The sequence below is a fragment of the Homo sapiens genome, chromosome 6 (genome assembly GCF_000001405.40).
Source record: "Homo sapiens chromosome 6, GRCh38.p14 Primary Assembly".
Classification (NCBI taxonomy): Eukaryota; Metazoa; Chordata; class Mammalia; order Primates; family Hominidae; genus Homo; species Homo sapiens.
The window spans coordinates 60,416,725-60,429,539 of record NC_000006.12 but is presented as its reverse complement, the minus strand read 5'-3'; the positions used below and the strand labels follow the sequence as shown (position 1 = coordinate 60,429,539).

Genomic DNA, 12,815 nt, shown 5'->3' with positions numbered 1-12,815 from the left:
TGGGTTGTTTCCAGTTTGGGCTATTTCAAATGAAGCTATTATGAGCATTCTTGAAGAGGTTTTTATGTGAACATAAGATTTCATTTCCCTGAGATAAAAGTACAATTGCTGAATAGCAGATGAACTTTTAAGATAACTCAAATACAAAGCAGAACACAAAAATAAGAGAAACTTCTCATAAGGAAAATTCAAATAAATATGTTAAAGAAACCAAGTTAAAAGGAACAAAGTATAGTTAGTGCCTTAGTGCTAAAAATGAAATATCATTTCTTACTTTAATTTTTCACTTATGGTTTCAATTGCATTCTCTATGACTTCCTTAAATATTCTCCCAAGACTTAAATTCTTACTCCCTCACATATGCCTTAGCAAGTTCACTTCATCTATAAGAAAGAGCAGGTCTCACTTTGCTTGACTTTGCTGTTCCCTCTAGTGACCATCTAGTTTCTCTTCATTCTTTTACAGTAACAACTTCTGAATTTTTCCATCCCCAGTCTAGTTCATTCAGACCTATATCCTCCCTTGGTAGAACTAACTAGAAAGCCTTTCAGCTCATTTTCATGAGACCATTTTTGTTGCTTCATATTAATATCTGATTTTTTTCTAAACATTGTTCTAATCCATACAATCAATATTCAACATCCTTAGTATGAACATGCAAGGTTTCCTCAATATCTGGTAACTACTTTTCTTTTTTTTCTTCTTTTTTTAATTTTTTTGAGACGGAATCTCACTCTGTTGCCCAGGCTGGAGTGCAGCAGTGCCATCTCGGCTCACTATAACCTCTGCCTCCCAGGTTCATGCGATTCTCCTTCTTCAGCCTCCTGAGTAGCAGGGATTACAGGTGCCTGCCAACATGCCCAGCTGATTTTGGTATTTGTAGTAGAGACAGGGTTTCACCATGTTGGCCAGGCTGGTCTCGAACTCCTGACCTCAGGTGATCCTCCCACCTTGGCCTCTCAAAGTGCTAGGATTACAGATGGCATGACCCACTGCGCCTGGCCAATAACTACTTTTCAATTATACATAACAGAACAATTATTTATTAAGTGTTCTGGAAAATAAGCTAGGACCTAATTGTCCCCTTTAATTCAGTTAAGGAAAAAGACACCACAATTACTATATTCACTACTATGTAAGTTAAACACATGAAATAAATGATAAAATGAGGGCTCCAACAAGGGCAAAACTTGAGCACCACAGAAGCACTGTGACAGGGAGCCCGGGAAAGTCCAGTATATTATTACTACACCAAAATGAGTCCTCGGCTCCAGTCCACTGGATTATTCACTATCCGATGACCACGCAGTCATGCTCTGTAGCTTCTCATTTTTCTCACTCTGCTAGCCCTGCCTGGTGCACCCTTCTCATGCACATGCCATGTAGCCAAAGCCAAATCATCATTCAAGACCCAACTCAATTTCTATTTCTTTTGGCACATTCCTTGATTACTTCTTATTCATTCAATCAACAAGTATCTATTTAACACTGACTATGTGTACAGCCCTGGGGAACCAGTAGTGAACAAAGAAGTCAAAAACCCTGTCCTCGAAGAGCTTATTTTTAATAGGAGGAGACGGACAATGAATACAGACATTAAAAAGATAACATCTGATGCCAAAACACTGGAAATGAAATAAGAGAAATGAAATCAAGTGTGATTAGGGGAGAGGTACTTCCATTTGGGTGGCCAGGGAAGCCTTTTTGAGGAGATGGCATTTCAAGTAAGACAAAGTAAGTTGGATTCTAGTGAAATGAGGATCCTGAGAAGGAATAAATGTGGTGTGCTAAAAGAGAGAATAAGATCCATGTGACCAGAGCAAGTGAGTGAGCTGGAATGGAGCAGAAGATAAAATAGAAATGATGAGCACATATGGCTTCAGAGGCCACAACATGAGTTTGGATTTAAGTCTACATATGATGAAAACCCACTAGAGGGTTCTGACCAGAAGACTGATGTGATTCAATAAACAAAGAGAACTCTGGCTGTTACGTAGTGAAAAGACAATATGAGAGTAAGAATGGAAGCAGGAGGGATACTTAAGAGGTGTGGGCAGTAGTCCAAATAATAAAAATTAAAAAGATAGTGTCTGGCTATATACAGATAGAAAAATGATCATGGAAAACAAGCAAACAAAAGAATCATAAGTCCAGGATAGGGGATAAATTATCAACTTGGATCTTGCAGAGGCCAAGAACAATAACAAGAATAGCGCCAGTACACAAAACCATTAGCTAGGTGTTCAAATCATCAACGAATACAGGTGTGGGGGGAGGGGGTGGAATAGCAACAAAGGAGGTATCAGATGATATAATAAGATCACGAGGGCTTTAAAGGAGCTGGAGCTGTAACAATGGAAGGCAGAGAAATGTGGAACAAGAAAGACACTCACCGCATACCTATATACGAACTCGGGGGGAAAGTTGTCTCTACTTGAAGAGGCCCACAGGGGAAACAGCATTGAGAAAGCCAGATTTGTTAGAAGAAAAAACTAAAGAAAACATTTGGAGAAGAGTTGCAAATACCAAGGGATATGCAAATGACATGCTGTTGTGAAGATCAAACAATATAGATACAGAGTTAGGAGGCAGTCCAAAAAAAGATACATCTCTATTACTCACCACGGGGTCTCAGGCACAGACCCATGACAAGATCATCATCATAGCACTTAACATTATATTGCTCATTTATTATTTATTATGTTGTCCCTCTCCCTCATGTAAGGTCCATGAAGGCAGGGACATTTTCTGTTTTCCTCACTTCTGTATCCACAGCACAATGGCTGCTACATAACTGATGGGCTCAATACATATCCATTAAATGAATTAATATTTCTATGAACTCCAACAGTATCCAACCAAATTCACATTTGCTTGTGAATGGGGAAACATCTAGCTAGAACTAAGAACAGAATTAACCTCCAACCATTCACATTATATAAGCACAAATCACATGAGTGGAAGTGAGAAAGGGGACTGTTAGAGATAAGTGTTTAATAAAAAAATTAAAAGATGGGACATCTTTGAGAACAAATTTCAAATCAACAAATCAACTGTGTAAAGTAGGCAACCCTATTGTTATTTCTAGACATATTAACTGCAAGTACTTTTTTATAATTTTTCAAATGGAAGATGACCTATTCATTCTGATCCAAACTCACGGTCTTTCTCTACTAGTCTTATTACAGTTCTTGTTTCCAAGCATTAAAATCCCTGTGTATTTTTAATTTCTTGTGAATAATTTGGTAATCGTCTAACCCAAGATTATTTATGGCTGGCTTATTTTCCCTTTGTGTATGGAGTGCAAATGCTGTTATGTATTAAAGAGAAATTCTACAAGTATGGCAAAGTACGCTACCCTATGGAACCACAAAGTCAAATGATGCTAAAATAAGCTATCTATTAATCTCGTAGCCTACACTAGACGATGAATTGTCCTCTCACCCTGAAATTCATATATCAAGTCCTGACCTCTAGTAGCTCCAAATGTGACTATATTTAGAGATGGGGCCTTTAAAGAACTCATTAAGATTAAAGGAGGCCATGGGGGTGGGGCCCTGGTCTCACACACTCAGTGTCCTTACAAAAAGAAGAGACACCAGGGATGTATGCAAGCAGTGGGAAAACCACAGGAGAACACAAGGAGAAGGCAGCCATCTGTGAGACAAGAAAGGCCCTGGAAGAAATCAAACTTACTATCCCTTTGATCTTGGATTTCAAGCCTCTAGACTGTGAGAAAATAAATTTCTGTTGTCATGACAGCCCTAACAAACTAATACACTTAGTGTTTTCCATTTCCCCTTTATTAAATGTATACAGTATTTAAATGTAAACACAAACTCCATTTAGCTATTTAAAAGAATTCCTGTTTGGAATCGTTGATTAAATTCTGTTTTCATAAAAGTACAGATAATTTTCTGATTAAATGATTTTCCTATGATTTTTTAAAAATCATCTAAGTAGGACATGGGATTTTCTTTAAAATTAATCAGCAAGCAGTGAAATAATATTCTATCTCCTCACCCAAAAGTCTTTGATTTAAGAAAATCTATGTTCCCTCCATTGATACAGTTCTAAGTTTAAAAGAATGTTCTACTTACCAAATCAATCTGATCTAAAGAAATCTTCCCAACATTTCCCTGGGTACTGTAATCTTGGCTAGTGTAGGAATGACTTTAAAAAAAGAAAAAAAAATATTAAAACAGATTCATAAAATACTTTTGATCCCTTCGAAGGAAATTTTTTAAATTCTGAAAATGATTAAAATAAGAAAGCATTTTACATGTAAACCTTAGCAGAAACATAGCCAAGTGTTTTAAACATATTTAATGAAATTAATTTAAGTAACTTACCCCAAAATAATAGAAAAATGTAGTAACAGTCTGAACCTCCTGACTCCTAGTCTAGAGCGCCACTTCCATTTTTTTAGAAGCATAATCCAAGTTGTTGTTAAAGTTCAAACCTCTACCATTTATCCTTTATTAACAGCACGACAACATAGCAAAAAAGCAGCTGGAACTTAAATTGGGAATCATCACTTAAAAGTAGCATGTGAGCAAGTTACTTAGTTACTTTCTGTATGCCAGTTGCCTTATTGACTAATGGCGATAATAATGCCTGCTTTGCAGTGTTGATAGGAGGTCTGAATTGTAAGAATTTTTGTTAAAGAGCCTGACATAAAGCAATCACTGTTTATTAAAATAAATAATATCTGAATAGCATTTTACAGTGTACAAAGAGTCTTCAATAGCCTCTAATTAGATCCTTGCAACCCCCTGAAAGAGCATTTCTGTATATCATTTGATGAATGGAGGCTTGGAGGAGTTAGAAACTTGTTAGGATCAGAAAGCAAGTCAGCAGTGCAGTGGGAACTCAAAGCTTTTGATTCCTAATTCCCCATTTTTTCACTGCACCATATCATCCTCTTCCTTATAATAAATTTTCCTGCATGATTATCTTCAAATTAGGAAACATAACTTGGTATATACTACCTTAAGCCACCCACCTCAGTAATGTTTCACCTCCTTCACACAACACACTACTCATGCCCAACTCCATGAACACAGACTCAGGTGCATGCAGGTGTGACATAGCAAAAAACAGATGCTAGATTACATAGAAATTCACAATCAAACCAAAGATTATACAAATACCACAACTAAAGGGAAACCCTGGAGTGAAGAGTCATTATGATCATAAAGAATTCCACTGGGGCAACAGAGTAAGACTCTGTCTCTACAAATAATAAAAATTAAAAAAAACAAAAACAAAAACAGAAACCTGGGCATGGTGGCATGCCTGTAGTCCTAGCTACTCTGGAGGCTGAGGTAAGAGGATTGCTTGAGCCAGGGAGATCAAGGCTGTAGTGAGCCATGATCATGCCTGAGCATTCGAGCCTAGGCTATAGAGCGAGACTCTGTCTCAAAAAAACAAACAAACAAACAAAAAATCCAGATACTACTTTCTATCTGCTCAGTTACAGATTCTTCCTGCTGAACCACATATACGCTCAAGATGCTCTGTAGATAGGCTGTTGTTTCCATAATCAATTAATTTTACTGATTAAACAATGGGTATGGATTATGAAGCAAAACCAAAATATAGCTGGCTCACACCTGTCATCCCAGCAATTTGGGAGGCTGAGGCAGGCAGATGGCTTGAGCCCAGAAGTTCAAGACTAGCCTAAGCAACAACATGACAAAACCTTGTCTCTACAAAAAATACAAAAATTGGCCAGGCATGGTAGTGTGTGCCTGTAGTCCCAGCTATTCAGGAGGCTGAAGCAGTAGGATGGCTTGAGCCCAGGAGGTGTAGGATGCAGTGAGCTGAGATCATGCTCCACCCTGGGTGACAGAGTAAGACCTCGTATCAAAAAAAAGGAAAAAAAAAGGTACAGATTTCCCCTCCCTGCAAGTCCTCCTTCTACAGGCTAAGAAGGACCTGAGAATTACTCTGAGAGCAGAATGGGTAGACTAATACTGAGGGAAACCAGAAGATGCCACCCCCAAAATATGAAGGATTATTGAGCGAAGGCAATTTAAGAAGAAGCAGATTCAGGAAAGCTCTCTGCCCTCCCTCTATCTGCCTAAAAGCAAAACACAGATTTACAAAGACAAAAGTCATCCTGCCCACCTTTTACCAGTGAGAACAAAGGTTGATCAGTGAAGATAACTTCAGATTCTTATTATGTGGAGATGATACCAGAGGAAACTATATGAACAAGCTTTACCAACTGGTCATTATCTGCCATTTATTTGCCTTCTCACAAGTTGCTGCCACCAGAGACTCAAAGTCCTTTTCCTTTGCCATGTCACTTCTCTAGAAATGTATTGCTCTTAGTTGAATTTGCTATGTAAACTTGAATTGAAAGCACCTTTTTTGAGAACTACTTACTTTCTGGATGTTTTCCATGCATATGTCTTCCATAGCACACACATGTGCTATGGTTTGAATATCTGTCCCTTCCAAAACTCATGTTTAAATTTAATCCCTAATGTGGCAGTATTGAGATGTGGGATTAATGGATAGAGGATTAATAGATTAATGAGTTGCCATGGGAAGGAAACTTGTGGCTTTACAAAATGAGGAAGAGAGACTTGAGCTGGCATGTTAACACACTCAGCCCCCTCGCCATGTGATACCCTACACCACCTCAAGACTCTTCAGAGAGTCCCTACCAGCAAGAAAGCTCTCACCAGGTACACCCTCTGGACCTTGGACTTCCCATTCTCCATAACTGTAAGAAATAAATTTGTTTCCTTTATAAATTACCCAATTTCAGATATTCTGTTATAAGCACAGAAAACTGATACAAAATGTTAATAAACTTGTTTGTTTTTCTCCTATTAATCTGTCTTTTGTTACATGGGTCCTTTCCAACCTATAGGGCTTGAAGAAAAAATTCTTCTTCAATAGGATATGGTCTTCAATGAGACCATATCCTAAAACACATCTCCTCTTGTATTATTTTCCCTTGCCTTGAATTATCTTTCCCTTGAGTAACACCTTTCTGACAATGTGTTATTGGATTCTGTGCATTCCATTAATTGCAGTAGCACAATGGCATATAAAACTCATGCAAAGTTAAATTGATAGCTGCCATTTAACTTTAATGTTTTAGACTTTAGTACACAGCATAACCAGATAATTGTTTCAGTGAAATCTCAGGAATAAAAATGTTATTTCTTTTTCCAACATGTCTTACAGTAGAGCAAAGAGGCAGCATGGGGCATTGGGAATGGCAGTAGGCTAGGAGTATGAAGACACGTTCTTGGTTTTTTTTTTTTGTTGTTTGTTTGTTTGTTTGTTTCTTTGTTTGTTTGTTTGTTTTTGAGACGGAGTCTCGCTCTGTCTGTCGCCCAGGCTGGAGTGCAGTGGGGCGATCTCGGCTCACTGCAAGCTCCGCCTCCCGGGTTCACGCCATTCTCCTGCCTCAGCCTCCCGAGTAGCTGGGAATACAGGCGCCCACCACCACGCCCGGCTAATTTTTGTATTTTTGAGTAGTGACGGGGTTTCACCGTGTTAGCCAGGATGGTGTCGACCTCCTGACCTCGTAATCCACCCGCCTCAGCCTCCCAAAGTGCTGGGATTACAGGCGTGAGCCACTGCGTCCGGCTGGTTTTTGTTCTTTAAATACCAGTTCTGCAAACTGGGACAAGTCACTTAACCATTCTGATTTGCATCATCCTTATTTGTAAAATGGCACTAATAATGCCAGCCCTGCCTAATTAACAGAAATACTGGGGAAATCAAATGAAATAATGTATCCAAAGTGCTAATTAAAATCAGTAAAGCATACTCCAGCACAAAGAGCAATTGCAGTCTTGACCAGTAAGTACAGAAATAACAGGATTGTAAGAGAGACAATAGCATGATCCTGTAGAGGAGCCATCACCCAGCTGGGAAGTACTAGGCCATGCCATTGACCCTTATAAGTCTCAGCTTCTTAGTCTATCAGCTGAAGGTGGTGATTACAATGATGTAACAGGATTGGTTCAGATCAAATAAACAAATATGAAAGGCCTCTATAAATGGTAAAATGATGTACAAACAGAATTATAGTTATTGAGTAAATGAAGCCAAATGATTACTTTGCCACAAGGAAGTTGTTCTCAGCCCAGATTAATGCATACTATACTAAGTACAAAGAGAAGACATATAAAGAGGACATATACATTTGCCTAAATGACAGTATAAAATGCTTGTTCTTCCACACCTCACTAGAATATACAAAAGGGCTAAATTTCAAGGAAAAAAAGAAAAAAAGCAAGAGAATGCTAGCAACGATGAATGCAAAGACTTTATTGGTATAAATGCCTACAGAGAGAATATAAGTAGACTTAAACTGTGTAGACATCAAACTTCTAAAAATATTTTTGGCCAGTCCTAGTGGCTCATGCCTCTATTCCCAGCACTTTGGGAAGCCAAGGCAGGAGGACCGCTTGAGCCCAGGAGTTAGAGATCAGCCTGGGCAACATATAGCAAGACATCATCGCTACAAAAAAAAAAAAAAAAAAAAAAATTAGCTGGGTGTGGTGGCACGCACCTGCAGTCTCAGCTACTCAGGAGGCTGAGGTGGGAGGATTGCTTGAGCCTAGGAGTTTGAGGTTGCAGTGATTTATGATCACATCACTGCAGTCCAGCCTGGATGAGGGATTGAGACCCTGTCTCAAAAATAAAAAATAAAAACTCTATGAAAAAGACATATACGTAATAGAAAGAAGGCCACCAGCCTAGTGTGGGCAAGTATGGAACCCATGGGGGTGGGGATGAATATGATAGAAATGAAGATGTTAAGTATCAGAATTAGGAATGACATTTCTCCTCTACTCATCTATAATCAGAAAGGCTTACTTATGTCTGCATTAGAGGAAGTGATAATAAACATCACAGCTACTTAAACCTATTTGAACTAGTTAAGGATAGCTGGGGGGCAGGGGGATTGTTAGATACAACACAAGAAAGGCAGATGGTGAGAAGCCTGTATCCCATGCTCTGCAGGCAGTGAAAAATCATGAAAAGATGTGAGGCAAGAACTGACATAATCCAGTTTACACTTGAGAAACAAAGCAGTGTGGGGAAATAATTAGAAAGGGGAGGGACTGGCAACTAACTGGAAGAATACTGTAGGCAATGTTACATCCAGGCGAGGAAAGGTGAGAGCCTGAGTAAAGTAGTAACGATGGAGAAAGGAAGGCAATAGATGGGTTCAGGAAATTTTCTGGAAAAGAATGGATATGCTTTGATGAAGGAGGTAGAAAAGTCAAGAATAACAGATCAGTTTCTAGCCTGAGTGACTGAGTGCTTCCAAGCCAAGATTTCACTTTCCACAAGATAAAAACTATTTAGCCTAAACAATAAAACTGTAACTCAGGAATAAACTTACAAAGAAATTATGAAAATACAAGTTTTGATAATAAATTTTCTTCACTCATCTTTACAATGTTTCCAGGTGAATGGTTTTTTCCTCATAATAATGAAACATTGACAGAAGCTCAAAAATCAAGGTAGAAGAAAAACAAATAATGCTGCCATAACATAAAAAAACCCTTAAAAGCAATTCACATTGGCTCATGAAACTGGCTTTTACCTGGAAGTGCCAAAAGATGGTTCTAAAGGAGAATCCTAACAGGTAGCCAGGGAAGAGACGCGCCCTTCTCCATTCAGAGCTCAGCGCCAGCTTTCTATCATACTGCTGCCAAATAAATGAAGCTGCTATATTAATGAATTGTCAAAATATATTCTTATTTTCATGATTTGAAAATGATCGATTTTATGAGGGAACATGTCTTAGTAATTATATTGGGAAAACACAGAAAGTCATTTTTAAATGCAAAAAACATTTCTAATTGCTTCAACATCTATAAACACATGCAAACCCAGCAGAAAACAGTTTTCTGTCCATTTAAAATACTCACAGCTTTATTTTGAGAGACATTCACTGTCACCAACATAGTTTTTTAAATAAGGGATTCAGTAAGCATAAAAGCTTTCCTACTCCTAATGTTTCATAAAAGAATACAGTGAGATGTAACACAAATACCATTTTTTCAATATAGAAGACCGAAGAACATTTTAATGGGTCACAAAATTCAAATTATGTCATTAATGACTATTTTGCCAAATATAAAGGACAATGTTTGATTAATCAGAGAATCTTGAAAAATCTGAATTTGATTTCCTTAATTCTCAGTTTAGCCACTAATTTTCCACAAGTTTAAAAGGAAAAAGACAAGGCAAGCTATGCATCAATTTTTTTCATCCATAAATATGTGTGGTAATGGATAAGGAATTGCAGTGATTTACTTACACTCCCTATGCATAATTTATTTGCTAAAGTATCAGGTGAAAGGCATTAAGGGTGAACTATCAGTTTTCTCAAGTTATAGAAAAGTAGTGAAAACAATAAAGATGTGGTTCAGTGAATATTCAATTACATTAGAAATCTATCTGAAGACACTGGATTGTAAAAGGATATAGTGTATTTTTGCTAAAATGTAACAATTGCTGCACTGTAACAGCAAAATAAACACCTTCACTACTGAAACAGAACCATATAAATGCATAAAACCCAGGACGAACTACTTTTCTAATATCACTAGATTGTCAGATTCTCTCTCTATAAGACACTTTTTTTCCACATCCCAGTTGTTGTCCTTATCTAGATGTAAAAGATTCTAATTATTAAAACAAACAAATAAAAAAACGCCACACACACCCCTTCAGGAATCCCTGTACAACCCCCCTATCTCTCAGCATACACTTATTAAGCACCTTTGTGACCAAGGAAGGGTCCAAGCAGTGAAGGATCCAGACATAGTCCAGGGAGGATAATGTGATGAGTGCCACAACAATGCTCAAAACAATTGTTCCTCAAGCCCGCAGAGAGGAGGTCTCTTCTAAATGAAGGGTGAGAGGAGAAGGTAGGCAATGTGTGGAGCATTAAAGATTTTTGAGCAATACAATGGCACTGAATAGAGAGAGTTATGCTTTAGAAACACAGACTACAGGATTCTAGAATGTTATTAGAATGTTGTTGAAATACCGGACAACAGGTCTAGATTGAATAGAGAAGCCTGCAGAGCCACAAGGGGAGGTGATCTTGGGGAACTGAAATAGAAGTCTGGGATGAAAGGAAGATGACAATCAGTAGGAATGAGCAACTAGGGAGTAAAGTGGAAGAATTAGAGATTGTAGTTGGAAAATAATTTAAGCTTGGAGGTTTAGAAGTAGGATGTGATAATCACAAAAAAAGTCAAAGGCCTGGTTGTTTGAATATTTTTATCATTTGTAGTTTAACAATGTTGAATATATTAAAACATTCTGACATTTTGACCAGGTTCATAAAAGTATGTGATTAAAGTTTATTAAGGCTGTTGAAGGGGTTTTAAAGTAAGAATGTGATAAGGGCGTAGCATTTTGGAATAATAAAGTCTTTTTCTTGGGATCTGAAGGCTTATCACATAACAGATGGAGGGGCAGAAAAGAGAAGCAAAGCCAAGAAAATTTCTAAAAAGTAGTTTATAGATGAAAAGGTTAGGTTAGAGAAAAAACACAAGCAAAGGCAGGTGGGCAGGGGGTGGGGGAGAAATTCGGTAGGAAATTAGGCAGGTCCTGAGATAGGTCTTTAATCAAAGACCATTAAAATATAATTTTAAAAACCCCTTTAAGTCCTATTTCCTTTGTAATAATATAGTGCTAAGTTTCTGTTTTCATGAAAATTTGAGGTTTTCTCCAGGTTTCTAAACACCTAAGTGTACATATAATAGTGCCTTCTAAGAAAACAGAATTTTGCAATTGTGTATAACAAACTCTGCCTACACAAAAGTAATCTGGTGTTTTTGTTTTGTTTTGAGGTGATGGTCTTAAATTATATATTCTGCTATAAGAGAATTCATGATACACAAAATATATAAAAGCATCCTTTTTTTTTTTTTTTTTTTTTTTTTTTTTTTAAATTTGAGACAGAGTTTTTCTCTTGTTGCCCAGGCTGGAGTGCAATGGTACGATCTCGGCTCACCACAACCTCTGCCTCCCCGGTTCAAGTGATTCTCCTGCCTCAGCCTCCCGAGTAGCTAGGATTACATGCACGTGCCACCATGCCTGGCTAATTTTGTATTTTTAGTAGAGACGGGATTTCTCCATGTTGGTCAGGTTGGTCTTGAACTCCTGATGTCAGGTGATCAGCCCGCCTCGACCTCCCAAAGTGCTGGGATTACCAGCATGAGCCACCGTGCCCAGCCAAAAGCATCTTTTAATGGTTGCATTTGTTCAATAAACTTACGTAAAACTTAATTAAAACACAGTCACACCTGAGGAACTTTTCCCTCTCATATTATCTCGCTCATTAAACATAAGAGGCCAGCATGGCTAGTTTTCCAATATAGCTTAAAATCACAGTAAACAGAAAATTATAAAGCTAACAGAATTTCAATAATTTATAGGCTGAAAAGAGAAAGGTTAAGACTTTCAAAACATACAAAACACATATTTACGCAACCAAATTTAAATGATCCCATTTTAAATCCAATTAAATCCATCTAATTTTGGTGAATGCAGGGGTTGGGGAATGACCAAGACAGCAAGGCATAATTAATCACATCCACACTAAACTAGAGTTTCCCCCAAATACTGTCTCACAAACATCTAATGTACAGCGCAAAAATACCATGGATATATAAAAGGATAAATCTGAAACAGATACATCTGCACACATCTGATCTGTGAATTGTAGTGAAAGGCAGACCTACTCCTGGACTTTGTAGAAACAACAGAAATTTAAGTCCTGTTCAATGTACCACAAATATCAATATGAG

General features: G+C 37.8%; 1 pseudogene, besides 1 other annotated feature; it reads right to left on the bottom strand.

The window, feature by feature from the left end:
- The window catches only part of PRIM2BP (primase 2B, pseudogene), a 264,192-nt pseudogene that overhangs the window by 116,090 nt on the left and 135,287 nt on the right, over positions 1 to 12,815 (bottom strand).
- Positions 282 to 576: a silencer, noted in NCBI's record as "tiled region #9523; HepG2 Repressive DNase unmatched - State 12:CtcfO, and K562 Repressive DNase unmatched - State 13:Ctcf". NCBI's record gives its function as "represses a minimal TATA promoter and a strong SV40 promoter by Sharpr-MPRA in HepG2 and K562 cells {active_cell/tissue: HepG2 | K562}" and the evidence as "EXISTENCE:reporter gene assay evidence [ECO:0000049][PMID:27701403]".